Genomic DNA, 20,552 nt, shown 5'->3' with positions numbered 1-20,552 from the left:
GGATGAATGTACAAACATAATATCATGTTAAACTAGCAAGACACATAGGAACACAAGCACATACACAAAAATCACATGGTATGTTTCCATTTATATAACATTCAACACTAGGCAAAATCAGAGTACATTATTTACAGATATATACAGAAGTGGTAAAACTAAAGCCATTACCATAAGAATTAGTGGGAGTGCAACCACCAAAGGGAAAGAAGAGAGCAGTGGTTGTCTAGGAAGGACACAGGAGGGAGGGGCAGCTCTGGGCCCTGGCACAGGATTGCTTGACCTGGTGTTACTTACAGAGGGATTTGCTTTATAATTATTATTTAAGCTGGATATTTACAGGTTACAATTTGTATATTATATAGTACACAGTATTTACAGTTTAAAGAAACACCGTGTTCTTTAAACTGTTATTCTGTTATGTGCCTTTCTGCATATATGTTATAACTAATAACAGAAATAATGGAAACATGTCTTACTTTTTGGCTTATAATTAACAGTCAATGTTCTCTTTTTTGTGGTCTTTCTCCCTTCTTCTTAGGAGCCATGGTATGTTTATTTCAATATATTTTTAATTTTAAGCCTGCTGCAAGTAAAGGAAAAGTAGGAGATGAGTCGGCAGTAATTATGTTGGAGTTTGAGATTATTAGTATTCTCATCAATTTCTGGTGTAATTATAATGCCAAGTGAGTGTGTGTTAGATTCACAAATCTGCAAGCAGGGACGTGGCTGTCTCTCAGGACTTCTTCTCACAGTGTCACTCCTTGTCTCTGAACCCAACCTGTAATACTGACAGAGGAGAGAGTCAAGGTCCAAACGGCTCAGCATCACACACTGGGGGTGGGAGGAACTCCACGGTCACGAGGTGCAGATTAGGAGAAAGGGACTTGTGAATAGACCAAGGCCCAGCAAGAAAAGAAGAGACCTGTGTGTCCTGTCGTCCCACAACGAGTTGGGCCCCCAGTGGGTTTTCCAGGCTGGGTTTGTGTTTCAGAGAAGGGGCTTTACCCTTTTATTTGATGTTTTTAGAGGGTAAGCTTGAGGTCTGTGAATTTCCCCAGTGATGGTTGTCTGGATTACTAGCTATCCAGAAACTGGAGTCTGCAGTGTCCTTGGGAATGAGCAGGTCATGTGCTGGCAGACAGGAGCCACTGATTCTCTGGCATCTTGGTCTGTTTTGGCTGCTGTTACTGAATACCATAGGCTGAGCTGGATTCCAACATTTATTTCTTAGAGTTCTGGAGGCTGCACGTCCAAGATCAGGGTACCAGCAGGGTTGAGTCCTGGGGAGAGCCCTGTTCCTTGTTCACAGATGGCTGCCTTCTTATTGCATCCTAGCCTAGTGGGGAGATGGCTGGCTGGCTCTCTGGCGGCTTATGAGAACACCGATTCTAACCATGAGGGTTCCACTTTATGACCTAATCCCCTCCCAAAGGACTCACCTCCTAATACCATTGCCCTGGGGGTTAGAATGGCAACAGAGGAATTTTGGAGGGGCACCAGCACCCAGTTCACGGCATGTGGGAAGCTGAGCTTGACCTCAGCTCCCTCTGTTTGGGGGAAGGGAGAGTTCCAGGTTCCAACTGGCTGTGGTTCAGAGTAAGCCCTCAGAGCTGCTTCCAGACAGTCCTGTTCGCTGTGCCACAATTGCCCTGGTTACAATTTTAAAGAATAATCTGCCTCTTATGTATAATATCCAGCACACCTATTTTTATTTTTCTGCCCAAAAATATGCTTTCATTTTTATTTTAGACTATGCATGTACAGGATATGAGGTATAAATATGTACACATTATATGTAATAAAAATTATACAAGAGTTGACTATCATATTAAATTTTAAGACTCTACCTGTTGTCTTATAACTAGGTGTTAAGATTCCACACTGTAGGCTGGGCGCCGTGGCTCACGGCTGTAATCCCAGCACTTTGGGAGGCCGAGGCGGGTGGATCATGAGGTCAGGAGATCGAGACCATCCTGGCTAACACGGTGAAACCCCGTCTCTACTAAAAAATACAAAAAATTAGCCAGGCATGGTGGTGGGGGCCTGTAGTCCCAGCTACTCGGGAGGCTGAGGCAGGAGAATGGTGTGAACCCAGGAGGCGGAGTTTGCAGCCAGCCAAGATTGAGCCACTGCACTCCAGCCTGGACTCCAGAGCGAGATTCCATCTCAAAAAAAAAAAAAAAAAAAAAAAAAAGAAAGATTCCACACTGTAGCAGGCTTTTTCACATATGGCCTCCTTTGAAATTTATCATAACAGTAAACGTTTTACTGATGCTGGCTTAAGTGAGATGCAAGTCAGGTTCATGAACAGAAGACCACTGAGGCAGATAAGGGAGGTAGCTCAGTACACATCACCTAGAATTATTTGTGATCTAGTGATTTTTTGTGGGCATTTTCTGTTTTCTTTTTTTTTTTTTTTTTTGCACAGTTGTGGTACAATATACATAACATAAAATTTACCATTTTAACCATTTTAAGTGTACATTAAGTGTGCGTTTTTTCTTTCTTTCTTTTGTTTCTTAGAGGCAGTGTCTTTCTCTGCCACCCAGGCTGGAGTGCAGTGGCATAATCATACCTCACTGCAGCCTCCAGCCTCAGCCTCCCGAGTAGCTAATACTACATGAACACACCACAACACCAGACTAATTATGACAATTTTGTTTTTGTAGAGATGGGGGTCTCCTATGTTGCCCAGGCTGGTTGTAAACTCCTGGCCTCAAGCAATCCTACTGCCTTGGCCTTACAAATTGTTGAGATTATAGGTGTGAGCCACTGCATCTAGCCCAGTGTACATTTTTAAATATACATTTTCAGTGGCATTAAGTATATTCACACTGTGTTGCAACCATCACCACCATTCACCTCCAGAACTTTTTCATTTTCCCAAACTGAAACTCTGTACCGTGAAACACCAACTCCCCACTCCCAGGCAGCCATCGTTATAGTTTATGTCTCTATGAATTTGACTACTCTACATACCTCATATAAGTGGAATATTTGTTCTTTTGTATCTGTTTTTCTTTCATTTAACATAGTGTCTTCAAGGTTCATTCATGTTATATCATGTGTCAGAATTTCCTTCCTTTTATGAAATATTCCTTTGTATGTATACCACATGCTGTTTACCCAGTCATGTGTTGATGGGCATTTGGGTTGTTTCCATCTTTTGGTTATTGTGAACAATGCTGTTATAAACACTGGCATGCAAATATCTGTTTATGTTGATGCTTAACATTCTTTTGGATGTATGCCCAGAAGTGGAATTGCTGGATCATGTGGTGATTGATGTTTAATTTTTTTCAGGAACTGCCATATTGTTTTCCATAGCAGCTGTACCTTTTTACATTCTCACCAGCAATACACAGGGTTCAAATTTCTCCCCATCTTCGGTGCATTTTCTTTTTTAATTTAAAGAGTTTTATTCCTTTTTTGAACTTAGAGGATTTTTTTGCAAAGGATTTGTGAAGCCATGGTTGGGATGGCAGGCAGCATTCCGGAACATACACCTGCAATTCATTCAGTTTTAGGCGTCTTTCTGTTAGGAGCATCTAAGGACTTGTTCAAGTAACCTCTTCCAGAAACTCCCTGAAGCTACTTCAACCCACAGAGATCTCTCCCTTCTCTGGGCTCTGATAGTCTTTCTAGACAATATTACTTAACACTGAATTATTTGTTGTCTTTATGTTAATTTTAATTCTCTATTTTATTGAATCTAGTCTAGACATGCTTGGCTAATTAGCCATTTCTTATTTCTTATTTATTTTTTTGTTATTTTTTCTTCCTTTTAAAGATTTTTTTTGTTTTTTTTTCTATCTTTTTATTTATTTTCTTTTTTATTGTTTGGGCCATTTATTTTAATGATTCTGGTTTTTACTTTCAGAATTTCTATTTTTATATTTTTCATATCCATCTGTTCTTAATTATAACTCTCTATTTTAATCATATTTTTATTCTTCTTTGTTACCATTAAGAGTATTACCTATACTTATTTAAAGTTATTTTTGGTTTGTTCTACTTGGATTTTGAGAGCAGTAAATTTATATCATGATTGTTGCATTTGTTGGCTGTCTCTTACAAATTTTTTCTTATGTGCTTTGGAGGTTTCATTTGTAGCTTTATCCTGAGTGGGAAATTTTCTTCTCTCTAAGAGCCTATTGGGTGGTTGCTTCCTCTCATCTCCCTGGAAGCCTGGTCTGCAACCAGCTGTTGTATTGGCAGATTTGGGGTTCTTGCCTGGGGCTGATGTGGGAGAGATCATGGATTGAGAAATGAGAAGTTTGGTCCCAGTTTGATTCTATTTAGTTTGATTCTATTTAGGCACAGCCATGGGCAGTAATTGCTGCAGATATGTTGGTGTCATTTCTTAGGGGTAGAATTCTTATTTCAGCTCCTGGTTTCTTACGAGGAGCGTGGCTCTGGGAATAGCCATGCAGGGAACTATTTTGATTCTAGCTGATCCTGCAGTGATAGAATGCCTGTCTGCTTCTGTCTGCTTTCAGTTCTGGAGTTCAGCAAACCCATAGCTTCTGTGCCCAGAGTGTCCTCTCTGTGTGTCCCCACCCACCAGCTTGCAGTCTTCCCAATCCAGAGGACAAATGTATTTATGGTGTGTTGAACATGCTTACATCTTTTGCCGAGACCAACTCAGTTGTGGAGACCCTAACCCAGAGGCACTAGAGGAATTAAAGACACACACACAGAAATATACAGTGTGGAGTGAGAAATCAGGGGTCTCACAGCCTTCAGAGCTGAGAGCCTTGAACAGGGATTTACCCACATATTTATTGACAGCAAGCCAGTGATAAGCATTGTTTCTATAGATTATAGATTAACTAAAAGTATTTCTTATGGGAAACAAAGGGATGGACCGAAATAAAGGGATGGGCTCTGGCTAGTTATCTGCAGCAGGAGCATGTCCTTAAGGCACAGATTGCTCATGCTATTGTTTGTGGTTTAAGAATGCCTTAAGCAGTTTTCTGCCGGGAGTGGCCAGGTGTTCATTGCCCTCATTCCGGTAAACCCACGTCCTTCAGCGTGGATGTCATGGCCATCACAAGGCATGTCACAGTGCTGCAGAGATTTTGTTTATGGCCAGTTTATGGCCAGATTTGGGGGCCTGTTCCCAACATTTCCCCCTTCTTTGTTTTGCAAAGTGATAAAAGCAAAGGCAGCTCTGTCACGGTGAGCTACTTCTCACAGGAGTCAGGATCCACATCTGTAGACTATACAAAGACAAACAACACAGATTAAAAGCACAATCATCATTGAAATCACAGAGCCTCCAAGTGTTTTTAATCCATTTTAATGGGTTACTAGCTGCTAATTTGTCTGCAGCTCCTTTAAGAACTCCAGTTCCTGGCATTAAGGTCAGGTGTGCCTGGGATGCTTTAAATATTAGTTCTTTTAATTTTGCAATATCCAAAGACAAGTTTGTAGAGTGTTCTTCTAGATGCCTTTTTATTCTTTCCCAAATTTTGATCTTATTAAGAGCTATTAATAGTTTCCACAAATCCTTATGTTTAGCTCCTACAGTGGGCCATATCATTTGAGGCTGAGGTGCCACTATGCCACCATGTTTCCAGATAATAGGAACTCTTGCCATACTTCTTACCATTTCTACCATCTGACCATTTTGTTCAGACCAGCTGAACATAGTGTGGCCATGGAATGCAGACTGAGAGGTGCAATTCAAGCTAAACATCCCCTTAGGGGACCAATCAATAATGATTCCATAAGAATCATTGCACAGCACCTCTGCCTGTTCTGCAATGCAATCTTCCTAAACAAGTACATTCATTTTTTCTGGCCAGGTCCAATTCTGCTTACAAATAGGTTTTTGAGGGCGGTATGCCTCCATTATAGGAGCAGATTTATTATGGAAAATACTGAGATCAGAAAGCATGTGTAACTGTGTCATAGAGTGATTACATCCAGGCATTATTGCCAGCCAAGATTGATAAATATGTCCAATAAGTATAATTGTTCTCTGTGTCAGCCCTTGTTGAAGGAATACTCATGGGAATGGTGATTACTGCTATCATAGCTACCATTAAATTACTCATTGTGACTGGTTGTCCTGCTTTCCTCAGGTTTTCTTCCATCATCTGTGACAGCTTCTTGATCTGTCCCCAGGTGGGTGGCTGTGTTTGACAGGTGTTGCTCATGACAGTTGGGGTCCTCCTCAGTGTCAGTCTCGACATGGCTGCAACTGAGGGGTCCTCGAGTTCCTCCCGGAATCTCTTCCTCAGCATCTGGCTCATGATAAGGTTTCAGGTGTCTTGATGGTATCCAAATCGGCTGTTGATTTGATCCTGGAGAAACACAAGCATAACCTCTACCCCAAGTTATTATTTTACCTATTTCCCAACTTTTTGTTATGGAATCTCTCTGCCAAACCAGTTGTTCTGCTTCTGTCTTTGCAGCTGGTTTCTGTGGATGCTGTTCAGCTGCTGATAGCATCTGGCCTTTAGGCAAGCAGGCTCAAAAAATTTAAAGTTAATAATACTAGGTTAAATTGCATGTGTGGTGTCCCATAGTCCCTATTTCTCCCCCTTTTTTGGTTTTGTAACTGCTGTTTCAGGGAGAGATTCATTCTTTCCACTTGTCCTTGAGAATTACATGGCATGCCAGTAATGTGTTTAATATTCCATATAGAGAAAAATGTAGCTAGAGCTTGGCTAGTATAGCCTGAGGCATTAACTGTTTTAATAGAAGCTGGAATGCCCATCACTGCAAAACACTGCAAAAGGTGACATTTAACAGAGGCAGAAGACTCTCCTGATTGGCATGTAGCCTAGACAAAGTGAGAAAAGGTGTCCACACATACATGTACATAAGCTAGTCTCCCAAACGAGGGAACATGTGTGACACCCATTTGCCAAGAAGAATTAGGTTCTAATCCTCAATGATTAACTCCTCCTGTAAAAGATGAAGAATGTACCATTTGGCAAGTTGGGCATTGCTGGATAATAGCTTTAGCTTCTTTCCAGGTAATCTTGTATCTGTGTTTGAGACCAGAGGCATTAACATGGGTTAAATTGTGAAAGTGTCTAGCATTAGATATTGCAGTAGCAACTAGGCGATCAGCCATATGATTCCCTGCAGTTAAAGGTCCTGGAAGAGGTGTATGAGCCCTAGTATGAGTGATGTAAAAAGGGTGCATTCTACTCCTAACTGCTATTTGCAATTGGGTAAATAAAGTCATCAGTTGTTCATCTGTATGAAATCATAGCTGAGCATTTTCAATTAATTGTGTGGAATGAACCACATATGAAGAATCAGAAATCACATTAATAGGCGTATTAAAAGCAGTCAATACCTCAATTACAGCTACAAGCTCTGCTTTTTGAGCTGAAGTATAGGGCGTCTGAAAAACTTTACCTTTCAAGCCAAAATAAGAAGCGTTACCATTACTAGACCCATCTGTGAAGACATTTTTACCACATTCAGTTGGCTTAAATTTAGTTATTTTAGGGAGAATCCAATTAGTTAATTTCAAAAATTGAAACTATTTTGTTTTTGGAAAGTGATTATCAAGAACACCCAGGAAATCAGCTAAATGGGTTTGCCAAGTAAGACTATTTATAAAAGCTTGCTGTATTTGTGCCTTGTGAGAGGGACGATAATTTTTCCAGGATCATATCCATGTAATTTAACAATCTGAGTTCTCCCATTTCCTTTCATGGTAGTCATTTGATCAAAATAAGGAGTCAAAGTCCATGACTTAGTATGTGGAAGAAAAAGCCTCTCTACAAGATCTTGCTCTTGAACAATAACAACAATAAGTGAATGCTGAGTTGAAAAAATCAGTAAATCTAGAGTCTTCTATGGACCCAGTCTATTTATCTGAGCTTTTCAATCAGCTGTAAATCTGCCTCAGCCTCCTTTGTTAATTGCCGAGGGCTAGTGAGATTAGGGTCTCCTCTAAGGATAGAAAATAGATTACTCATGGCATAGGTAGGAATGCCTAGAGCAGGTCATATCCAATTAATGTCCCCTAGTGATTTTCAAAAGTCATTTAATGTTTTTAATTGATCCCTATGTATGGTTACTTTCTGTGGCACAATTGTAGTGTCATTTACTAAGGTCCCCAAGTAGGAGTAAGGGGTAGGAGTCTGAATTTTGTCAGGAGCTATAATTAAACCAGCATGAAAAATCGAATTTTGCAAGTGATCATAACATTGGAGTAATATTTCTTGAGTGGGGGCAGCGCAAAAAAATATTATCTATATAATGAATACTGTAACACTGTGAAAATTTTTTATGAGTAGGTTCAATTGCTTACCCTAAATAAGTCTGGCAAATTGTTGGACTATTTAACATGGCTTGTGGCAACACTTTCCAGTGAAAACATTTAGCAGGTTGCAGGTTGCTTACCGCAGGAACTGTAAATGCAAACTGTTCACAGTCTTGCTCAGCTAAGGGGATAGTAAAGAAACAGTCTTTTAAATCTATGACTATTAAAGGCCAATTTTTTGGAATCATAGCAGGAGAAGGCAGTCCTGGCTGCAATGTCTCCATATGTTGTATAATTGAATTAATGGCTCTAAGATCTGTCAACATTCTCCATTTACCTGATTTTTTCCTAATAACAAAAACTGGAGAATTCTAGGGGGAAAATGTTGGAGCTATGTGTCCTTTTTCTAATTGTTCAGTAACTAAGTCCTCTAAAGCCTCCAGTTTCTCTTTACTTAGTGGCCATTGTTCTATCCAAATTGGCTTATCTGTTAAGCATTTTAAAGGTATAGGTCCTGGAGGCTTAACAATGTCCGCCATCAAAAATGATATCCTAAACCTTGGCAGGAATTTTGTCTTTCCGCTTGAAGCAGTTCCTTCAAACCTTGCAAATTTTTTCCTAGTCCCATACCAGGGACATATCCCATTTCGTGCATCATATGTTGACTTTGGGGGCTGTATAATTGCTCTGAAATTAGAACTTGTGCTTCCAATTGTTGTAATAAATCTCTCCCCCATAAATTTATAGGTAGAGAAGTTATAATTGGTTGAATAGTCCCAGGTTGTCCATCAGGCCCTTCACAATGCAAAATATAACTACTTTGATATACTTCAGGGGCTTCACCAACTCCAACTATGTTAAATTGGGTGGGTTGAATTGGCCACATGGATGGCCAGTGCTGTAGAGAAATGATTGAAATGTCCACTCCTGTGTCTACCAAACCTTTAAATTTCTTTCCCTGAATAGTTATTTCACAGGTAGGACTTTTCTCAGTAATTTGATTTACCCAATAAACTGCTTTGCCTTGTTTATTTGTGCTTCCAAATCCTCCTGTTCATTTAGTTTCACTTTTCCCCATTTCCACATATGGCACAATCAGGAGCTGTGCAATATGCTCTCCTGGCTCTGCTTTCCAGGGAACAGGAGCAGATATAACAATTTGAATTTCCCCATTGTAATATGAATCAATGACACATGTATGTACTTGCACTCCTTTTAAATTTGAACTGTACCTACCTAGAAGTAATCCTACAGTCCCTGCTGGCAAGGGTCCACAGATCCCTGTTGTAACTTTTTGCGGGGGTTCCCCAGGCAGAAGAAGACTCACAGCTTCTGTGCAGCATAAATCTACTGCAGGATTACCAGCTGTGGTGGGGGACAGACATTGTACAGGGGTGAGGGAGTAGCCTGAGCTGGAAATGCCCAGGTTTGGAACATGGCCCAGGACGGGCCCCTCATGGCATTTCCTGAAATCAGGTTCCCATCTTTATCAAACTTAGAGTGACACTGATTAGCCCAATGTTTTCCTTTTTTACATTTTGGACGTATTCCAGGCCCAGCAGTTTTCTTTTTTCCCTCAACTGGCAGCCTGACTAGCTGATTTTTTCTACATTCTTTTTTAGTATGACCATGCTTCCCACAGTTAAAACAAGTTCCAGGAAATGGAGTGTTTCCTTTACTCACTTTCAGTCCTGCCATGGCTTGCGCCAACAAAGTAGCTTTATGCAGATTACTTCTGATACCATCACAGGCCTTGATATAATCAACTAAATGTGCTTTCCCTCTAATAGGTCACAGAGCAGCCTGGCACTCGGGATTAGCATTGTTGAGAGCTAATAACCACCACACTATATCCTGAACCGCTGAATCTGCAATCACCTTTTTAAGAGACTCCTATAACCGAGCTATGAAATCTGTGTACAGTTCTTTTGGTCCCTGTTTTACAGCACTAAAGGAAGGGTATTTTTCTCCACCTGAAGTGATTTTTTCCCAAGCTCTGATGCACACTCCTCCAAGCTGCTCTATGGCATCATCCTGCATGACCACTTGTGCATCTAAACCAGCCCTGCTGCCAACCCCCAAAAGTTGGTCTGCAGTTATATTAATTTGAGATTGGGCCTGGGCCTTGTGAGCAGCCTGAATGGAAGCTTCATCTGCCCACCAAGTTTTAAATTGTAAGAACTGAGCAAGAGTCAGAAAAGCTCGAGTGAGAGCATCCCAATCAGTGGGAATCATCCAACTGGAAACAGCAACATTCTTTAACAGTCCCATTACAAAAGGAGAACCTCGTCCATATTGATTAATAGCTTCTTTAAATTCTTTAAGTAACTTAAAAGGAAAAGGCTCAAATGTAGGTGTAATATTTCCCTGTTGATCGGGTGTGTGTATTCTAACAGGGAACTGCCAAGACTCTAAATCACGCTCTCTTCTAGCTTGCTGGATTCCTGCATGAATAGAACTGAGAGTGGTTGCTCGAGGTGCTGTTCAAACAGTCACTGGGGCAACTACCTTTTGCCCTGTGTCCTCTGGAAAAGGAAGATCTGGAGGATCAGGCCACTCTTTTTCTTCAAAATAATGAGGGGGTGCAGAAGGGTAGGAATGAACCTCTCCCTCCTTTGCCACTTTAGCTTTAGCTGGCAAACAAACCTGCTCTGTCACCTCTTCTGTTACTTTGTAATATTCTCCTTCCTCCTCATCATCAGTGTGGAAAGGTTCCGAGGTGGAACGAACCAGAGCCCACACTTGTCCCACTGTTACTCTGATGCTTCCGAGCTCCCTTCTTACTCACCACGGGGATTGCTTAAGAGTACTCGGGTGTCCTCCAGCTTAGTTCCACATTTTCCAGCCATTGCTCTGGCAACCCTTTGACCTGGATTCGAGCCCCCACATATGAGTGCCACTTGCCGAGACCAGCCTGGTCAGGGAGACCCTAGACCCAGCGGCACTAGAGGGATTAAAGACACACACACAGAAATACTGAGTGTGGAGTGGGAAATCAGGGGCCTGACAGCCTTCAGAGCTGAAAGCCACGAACAGTTTTACCCACATATTTATTGACAGCAAGCCAGTGATAAGCATTGTTTCTATGGATTATAGATGAACTAAAAGCATTCCTTACGGGAAACAAAGGGATGGGCTGAAACAAAGGGTTGGGCTCTGGCTAGTTATCTGCAGCAGGAATATGTCCTGAAGGCACAGATCACTCTTGCTATTGTTTGTGGCTTAGGAACTCCTTAAGCAGTTTTCCATCCTGGGTGGGCCAGGTGTTCCTTGCCCTTATTCTGGTAAACCCACAACCTTCAGCGTGGGCATCATGGCCATGAAGAACATATCACAGTGCTGCAGGGATTTTATTTCTGGCCAGTTTTGGGGCCAGTTTATGGCCAGATTTGGGGACCTGTTCCCAACAATCTTTAAAATAGCTTAAACTAATTTGAGGGGAGAGGTAGAGACTACATTATGAAACTCAAGTGTCTTTCCACATATAATCTCTGGTTGTATATTAAATTTTATTTTCCAAATAGATTACACATTGTTTATGTCTCTCTAAATTTTATTCCCTCTAAATACCTTGCAAAAACACCAAGTATCCATTTATTTCATTTATTTGATTTAATTAATAAATGTTTGCTGACCATTTACTGTGCCTATTAAGGAAATAAACTGATTAGTCATTTTGTTCAGTAAATACAATATCTGCACCTAGGATTAGACAGAAGCAGTAAAACTGTTGCTTGGTCAGAGAACTTTGGATCACAGATTCCCTGGGATCTAAGGTTTTGACACTAAGCTTGGGTGCACGGATGCCAGTTCTGTTTCTTTTCTTGGAACTCCAGGATTAATAACAGCAATTTTAATTCCCCCAGGTAGTGTTGGGGGCATTTTCCCAATGGCTAACATTTTTCATAGAAGTGGGTAAGATGAAATCACAGCATCCAACCGACATACTGTGTTCCTGCCTCTTCTCAGTGGTGCCCGGACTCCCCCCTCCTGGAGGTTCCCTGGACCCGTGCTGCCAGGCCCCAGTGAACAGGCTTTGAGCACAGTCTATGTTGCAGACTCTGTCCCCAGCATGCCATGCATGTTGAATTATGTAGCTCTTACTGTAATCAGACTGTTGTGACTCCTATTTGTGGATGCAGAAGTGGAGGCACAGAGTTGAGGCATGTTCTCAACATCTGTAGTTGGGAAGGGACAAAGCTGACAAGGCCGGCTCCCTGGATGCTCTCTGAGCCAGAGCTGGGGATGCAGTGAGTCTCACCAATGTACTTTAATGTAGCCGTTTCTCGTTGTCTGAACTAGGTTACTGTTGAATTCAAAAGCTTTTATAAGAAACTCCTCTCATCTCTGTAGCAGTTTGAGTAATTTCTCTTACCAGTAAAGCTGTCTGTGCAACTCCCTTTATCTTATGCTGCTGTGGGTATGTCTCCAGGCAAGTATAAAGCGCTGCTTTTTGTGTAACTGTGGGTTTGTTTTAGGTAAGCCCCCTCCTCCCTGTGAAAGTTCCCATGGAGCCCACCATATATATTCCTGAAAAAGGTAGGAAACTTTTTCCTGGGAGCTCACTATTTATACAAAGAATAAAAGGCTTCTGTGCTTTACTGGCTCCTTATCTGTCCCAGCTTATCTGTGCAGCTGCAGCAGCTGCAACTTTTCAGGCAGGCAGCTTCTCCTGGCCCAGCCTTAACTGTTTACCTAACTGATTTTTCCTTTTCTTCTCCCTCAGCAGCGGTTTCCATCTTCAGGGAGAGTGGCCTGAGGGGCTTCTTGCTGTAACATCGGGACTGTCTCCCATGTCTCAGAAAGTCAGGTCACCACGGACCCAGGGCCATCTCACCTGACCCCTTGGACCCTTCATGCTCCAGGGCAGTGCATGAACTGGGCTGCAGATGAGCTTGCGAATCTGGCGTTGGGGGGTGGGGGATGGGGCACAGAGGCTCTTCTTTTTTTTTTTTTCTTTTATTATTATACTTTAAGTTTTAGGGTACATGTGCACATTGTGCAGGTTAGTTACATATGTATACATGTGCCACGCTGGTGCGCTGCACCCACTAACTCGTCATCTAGCATTAGGTATATCTCCTGATGCTATCCCTCCCCCCTCCCCCCACCCCACAACAGTCCCCAGAGTGTGATGTTCCCCTTCCTGTGTCCATGAGATCTCATTGTTCAATTCCCACCTATGAGTGAGAATATGGGGTGTTTGGTTTTTTATTCTTGCGATAGTTTACTGAGAATGATGATTTCCAATTTCATCCATGTCCCTACAAAGGACATGAACTCATCATTTTTTATGGCTGCATAGTATTCCATGGTGTATATGTGCCACATTTTCTTAATCCAGTCTATCATTGTTGGACATTTGGGTTGGTTCCAAGTCTTTGCTATTGTGAATAGTGCCGCAATAAACATACATGTGCATGTGTCTTTATAGCAGCATGATTTATAGTCCTTTGGGTATATACCCAGTAATGGGATGACTGGGTCAAATGGTATTTCTAGTTCTAGATCCCTGAGGAATTGCCACACTGACTTCCACAATGGTTGAACTAGTTTACAGTCCCACCAACGGGGTAAAAGTGTTCCTATTTCTCCACATCCTCCCCAGCACCTGTTGTTTCCTGACTTTTTAATGATTGCCATTCTAACTGGTGTGAGATGGTATCTCATTGTGGTTTTGATTTGCATTTCTCTGATGGCCAGTGATGATGAGCATTTTTTCATGTGTTTTTTGGCTGCATAAATGTCTTCTTTTGAGAAGTGTCTGTTCATGTCCTTTGCCCACTTTTTGATGGGGTTGTTTGTTTTTTTCCTGTAAATTTGTTTGAGTTCTTTGTAGATTCTGGATATTAGCCCTTTGTCAGATGAGTAGGTTGCAAAATTTTCTCCCATTTTGTAGGTTGCCTGTTCACTCTGATGGTAGTTTCTTTTGCTGTACAGAAGCTCTTTAGTTTAATTAGATCCCATTTGTCAATTTTGTCTTTTGTTGCCATTGCTTTTGGTGTTTTAGACATGAAGTCCTTGCCCATGCCTATGTCCTGAATGGTATTGCCTAGGTTTTCTTCTAGGGTTTTTATGGTTTTAGGTCTAACGTTTAAGTCTTTAATCCATCTTGAATTGATTTTTGTATAAGATGTAAGGAAGGGATCCAGTTTCAGCTTTCTACATATGGCTAGCCAGTTTTCCCAGCACCATTTATTGAATAGGGAATCCTTTCCCCATTGCTTGTTTTTCTCAGGTTTGTCAAAGATCAGATAGTTGTAGATATGCGGCGTTATTTCTGAGGGCTCTGTTCTGTTCCATTGATCTATATCTCTGTTTTGGTACCAGTACCATGCTGTTTTGGTTACTGTAGCCTTGTAGTATAGTTTGAAGTCAGGTAGTGTGATGCCTCCAGCTTTGTTCTTTTGGCTTAGGATTGACTTGGCGATGTGGGCTCTTTTTTGGTTCCATATGAACTTTAAAGTAGTTTTTTCCAATTCTGTGAAGAAAGGCATTGGTACCTTGATGGGCATGGCATTGAATATACAAATTACCTTGGGCAGTATGGCCATTTTCATGATATTGAGTCTTCCTACCCATGAGCATGGAATGTTCTTCCATTTGTTTGTATCCTCTTTTATTTCATTGAGCAGTGGTTTGTAGTTCTCCTTGAAGAGGTCCTTCACATCCCTTGTAAGTTGGATTCCTAGGTATTTTATTCTCTTTGAAGCAATTGTGAATGGGAGTTCACTCATGATTTGGCTCTCTGTTTGTTTGTTATTGGTGTATAAGAATGCTTGTGATTTTTGTACATTGATTTTGTATCCTGAGACTTTGCTGAAGTTGCTTATCAGCTTAAGGAGATTTTGGGCTGAGACAATGGGGTTTTCTAGATATACAATCATGTCATCTGCAAACAGGGACAATTTGACTTCCTCTTTTCCTAATTGAATACCCTTTATTTCCTTCGCCTGCCTAATTGCCCTGGCCAGAACTTCCAACACTATGTTGAATAGGAGTGGTGAGAGAGGGCATCCCTGTCTTGTGCCAGTTTTCAAAGGGAATGCTTCCAGTTTTTGCCCATTCAGTATGATATTGGCTGTGGGTTTGTCATAGATAGCTCTTATTATTTTGAAATACGTCCCATCAATAGCTAATTTATTGAGAGTTCTTAGGGTTGTTGAATTTTGTCAAAGGCCTTTTCTGCATCTATTGAGATAATCATGTGGTTTTTGTCTTTGGCTCTGTTTATATGCTGGATTACATTTATTGATTTGCATATATTGAACAAGCCTTGCATCCCAGGGATGAAGCCCACTTGATCATGGTGGATAAGCTTTTTGATGTGCTACTGGATTCGTTTTGCCAGTATTTTATTGAGGATTTTTGCATCGATGTTCATCAAGGATATTGGTCTAAAATTCTCTTTTTTGGTTGTGTCTCTGCCAGGCTTTGGTATCAGAACGATGCTGGCCTCATAAAATGAGTTAGGGAGGATTCCCTCTTTTTCTATTGATTGGAATAGTTTCAGAAGGAATGGTACCAGTTCCTCCTTGTACCTCTGGTAGAATTCGGCTGTGAATCCATCTGGTCCTGGACTCTTTTTGGTTGGTAAGCTATTGATTATTGCCACAATTTCAGATCCTGTTATTGGTCTATTCAGAGATTCAACTTCTTCCTGGTTTAGTCTTGGGAGAGTGTATGTGTCAAGGAATTTATCCATTTCTTCTAGATTTTCTAGTTTATTTGCGTAGAGGTGTTTGTAGTATTCTCTGATGGTAGTTTGTATTTCTGTGGGATCGGTGGTGATATCCCCTTTATCATTTTTTATTGCATCTATTTGATTCTTCTCTCTTTTCTTCTTTATTAGTCTCACTAGTGGTCTATTTATTTTGTTGATCCTTTCAAAAAACCAGCTCCTGGATTCATTAATTTTTTAAAGGGTTTTTTGTGTCTCTATTTCCTTCTGTTCTGCTCTGATTTTAGTTATTTCTTGCCTTCTGCTAGCTTTTGAATGTGTTTGCTCTTGCTTTTCTAGTTCTTTTAATTGTGATGTTAGGGTGTCAATTTTGGATCTTTCCTGCTTTCTCTTGTGGGCATTTAGTGGTATAAATTTCCCTCTACACACTGCTTTGAATGCAAACCAGAGATTCTGGTATGTTGTGTCTTTGTTCTCATTGGTTTCAAAAAACATCTTTATTTCTGCCTTCATTTCGTTATGTCCCCAGTAGTCATTCAGGAGCAGGTTGTTCAGTTTCCATGTAGTTGAGCAGTTTTGAGTGAGTTTCTTAATCCTGAGTTCTAGTTTGATTGCACTGTGGTCTGAGAGATAGTTTGTTATAATTTCTGTTCTTTTACATTTGGTGAGGAGAGCTTTACTTCCAAGTATGTAGTCAATTTTGGAATAGGTGTGGTGTGGTGCTGAAAAAAATGTATATTCTGTTGATTTGGGGTGGAGAGTTCTGTAGATGTCTATTAGGTCCACTTGGTGCAGAGCTGCGTTTAATTCCTGGGTATCCTTGTTGACTTTCTGTCTCGTTGATCTGTCTAATGTTGACAGTGGGGTGTTAAAGTCTCCCATTATTATTGTGTGGGAGTCTAAGTCTCTTTGTAGGTCACTCAGGACTTGCTTTATGAATCTGGGTGCTCCTGTAGTGGGTGCATATATATTTAGGATAGTTAGCTCTTCTTGTTGAATTGATCCCTTTACCATTATGTAATGGCCTTCTTTGTCTCTTTTGATCTTTATTGGTTTAAAGTCTGTTTTATCAGAGACTAGGATTGCAACCCCTGCCTTTTTTTGTTTTCCATTTGCTTGGTAGAACTTCCTCCATCCTTTTATTTTGAGCCCATGTGTGTCTCTGCACGTGAGATGGGTTTCCTGAATACAGCACACTGATGGGTCTTGACTCTTTATCCAATTTGCCAGTCTGTGTCTTTTAATTGGAGCATTTAGTCCATTTACATTTAAAGTTAATATTGTTATGTGTGAATTTGATCCTGTCATGATGATGTTAGCTGGTTATTTTGCTCGTTAGTTGATGCAGTTTCTTCCTAGTCTCGATGGTCTTTACATTTTGGCATGATTTTGCAGTGGCTGGTACCGGTTGTTCCTTTCCATGTTTAGTGCTTCCTTCAGGAGCTCTTTTAGAGCAGGCCTGGTGGTGACAAAATCTCTCAGCATTTGCTTGTCTGTAAAGTATTTTATTTCTCCTTCACTTCTGAAGCTTAGTTTGGCTGGATATGAAATTCTGGGTTGAAAATTCTTTTCTTTAAGAATGTTGAACATTGGCCCCCACTCTCTTCTGGCTTGTAGGGTTTCTGCCAAGAGATCCACTGTTAGTCTGATGGGCTTCCTTTTGAGGGTAACCCGACCTTTCTCTCTGGCTGCCCTTAACATTTTTTCCTTCATTTCAACTTTGGTGAATCTGACAATTATGTGTCTTGGAGTTGCTCTTCTCGAGGAGTATCTTTGTGGTGTTCTCTGTATTTCCTGAATCTGAACGTTGGCCTGCCTTGCTAGATTGGGGAAGTTCTCCTGGATAATATCCTGCAGAGTGTTTTCCAACTTGGTTCCATTCTCCCCGTCATTTTCAGGTACACCAATCCGACGTAGATTTGGTCTTTTCACATAGTCCCATATTTCTTGGAGGCTTTGCTCATTTCTTTTGTATTCTTTTTTCTCTAAACTTCCCTTCTCGCTTCATTTCATTCATTTCATCTTCCATCACTGATACCCTTTCTTCCAGTTGATCGCATCGGCTCCTGAGGCTTCTGCATTCTTCACGTAGTTCTTGAGCCTTGGTTTTCAGCTCCATCAGCTCCTTTAAGCACTTCTCTGTATTGGTTATTCTAGTTATACATTCTTCTAAATTTTTTTCAAAGTTTTCTACTTCTTTGCCTTTGGTTTGAATGTCCTCCCGTAGCTCAGAGTAATTTGATCATCTGAAGCCTTCTTCTCTCAGCTCGTCAAAGTCGTTCTCTGTCCAGCTTTGTTCCATTGCTGGTGAGGAACTGCGTTCCTTTGGAGGAGGAGAGGCGCTCTGCATTTTAGTTTCCAGTTTTTCTGTTCTGTTTTTTCCCCATCTTTGTGGTTTTATCTACTTTTGGTCCCTGATGATGGTGATGTACAGATGGGTTTTTGGTGTGGATGTCCTTTCTGTTTGTTAGTTTTCCTTCTAACAGACAGGACCCTCAGCTGCAGGTCTGTTGGAGTACCCTGCCGTATGAGGTGTCAGTGTGCCCCTGCTGTGGGGGTGCCTCCCAGTTAGGCTGCTCGGGGGTCAGGGGTCAGGGACCCACTTGAGGAGGCAGTCTGCCCATTCTCAGATCTCCAGCTGCGTACTGGGAGAACCACTGCTCTCTTCAAAGCTGTCAGACAGGGACATTTAAGTCTGCAGAGGTTACTGCTGTCTTTTTGTTTGTCTGTGCCCTGCCCCCAGAGGTGGAGCCTAGAGAGGCAGGCAGGCCTCCTTGAGCTGTGGTGGGCTCCACCCAGTTCCAGCTTCCTGGCTGCTTTGTTTACCTAAGCAAGCCTGGGCAATGGCTGGTGCCCCTCCCCCAGTCTCGCTGCCGCCTTGCAGTTTGATCTCAGACTGCTGTGCTAGCAATCAGCGAGACTCCGTGGGCGTAGGACCCTCTGAGCCAGGTGCCGGATATAATCTCATGGTGTGCGGTTTTTTAAGCCCGTCGGAAAAGCGCAGTATTCGGGTGGGAGTGACCCGATTTTCCAGGTGCCATCCGTCACCCCTTTCTTTGACTAGGAAAGGGAACTCCCTGACCCCTTGCGCTTCCCGAGTGAGGCAATGCCTCGCCCTGCTTCACTGGTGCACGGTGCACGCACCCACTGACCTGCCAGAGGCTCTTCATACATCGCGAACCCGCAGACACTGCCAGGCTCCCTGGCTTTGCAGGGTTCACTCCCAGGGGCCTTGTCTTTTTAGGTGAACGTTTCCAGGGCTGCAGTTTAAAGACACAGGATCAAAGTCTCGCCTGCCTGAGCGGAGTGGCTTGGGCTCTCCCCAGGCCTCTGGGATTCTCTCTGGAGAGCAAAGCAGTGACCCACACATATCACTGGTGCAGGGTCTCTGCCTAAGGAATGCTTCCGAGTGCCAAGCGTGTGCTGGGCTGTGCCCTGCGCTCCTGGGGCACTGCCCCAGGGCCCCATCAAGTCTCTGGTGTGAGCGCAGCATGGCACTGGGGCAGGGTTTGCTAAGCCCAGTCCGTCCTTAGAGTTCATACAAACCTATTTCATTTATTTTTGAGAGAGACTAGTTTCAGCTACTCCTAATGACATGGGATTTCTTTCTTTCTTTTTCTTAGGATAAAATACTTCATTACCTGCCTTGTGGGGGCTTAGAAATGTAAGGTAAGAGACAAAATTAGGGGACGAGACAAGAAAAGTAGGGGGAGGAATGTTGAAAGATACTGTGTTATAAATACTTTGGCTGAGCATACTTACATCCAACCCAGAGGACATGCTGAGAGGTGGTTTTGTTACCCATAAAACAGAAACAATCTGGGAGAAATGACATGGGATTTCTGAAGAAAAGGCTAAGCTTGTTTATTTCTTATGTTTGTTTTGTTGTTTTATATTTTAATTTTGTTTAGAGACAGGGGCCCCACTATGTTGCCCAGGCTGGTCTTGAACTCCTGGGCTCAAGCAACCCTCCCTCCTGGGCCTCCTGAGTAGCTGCGATTACAGGCCCAGGCCACTGTGCCCAGTTATGCTTCTTCTTCTTTTTTTTTTTTAAGTGCCCCCTGGAGGGACTTAATCCAAGGCAAGTTAGTAAAAGTCATATTTAAAGCTGATAAAATAAGCTGATTAAAGATTGTTCAATTTACTTCCCCTCAGGAGTGGAAACAAACCCTGGGACCATCTATTCTCTCTCCCTCCTCTCATTGTCCTAAGGCCAGGAGGACTAAAATAAGCACATTAGAATTAGAGCCGTGTACCTTGTTAGTGGAGACTTTGAAGAATGGTTTGTAGCACTTTCTAGTACATCACACACCTTCATCAGGGAGGGAATCGGAAGATGATGGAAGTCTGTGATGAGAAGAGAGCCCTGGGGAAAAGCAGGCATGCAGTAAGGATTTTTTTAAAAAATGAATCATTCACAAATGAACTAGTGACATTTGGGGGCATTTTACACAAAACAAAATTTTTCTGATAGCGGTAAACCGAGTTCTATGGGATAATACTTAGAGACAGAGCCCAGGTTAATCATGTCATTGCTAAGGGTTCCCTTGCCTTCTTCTGTCCCAGAAAGACCCCATGCCCAGAGGCCCTCACCATCCACTGGCTGTGAAATCCCCCTGAAGGAGATGAGGC

The 20,552-nt window shown here is 42.0% G+C and overlaps 1 annotated feature.

The window, feature by feature from the left end:
* Positions 18,522-19,186: an enhancer, noted in NCBI's record as "H3K4me1 hESC enhancer chr8:54522094-54522758 (GRCh37/hg19 assembly coordinates)". NCBI's record gives its function as "activates a minimal SCP1, AML or CMV promoter by ChIP-STARR-seq in naive H9 embryonic stem cells {active_cell/tissue: H9 hESC(naive)}" and the evidence as "EXISTENCE:reporter gene assay evidence [ECO:0000049][PMID:30033119]".

The sequence above is a fragment of the Homo sapiens genome, chromosome 8 (genome assembly GCF_000001405.40).
Source record: "Homo sapiens chromosome 8, GRCh38.p14 Primary Assembly".
NCBI lineage: Eukaryota > Metazoa > Chordata > Mammalia > Primates > Hominidae > Homo > Homo sapiens.
This window is presented reverse-complemented; position numbering and strand designations above follow the sequence as displayed.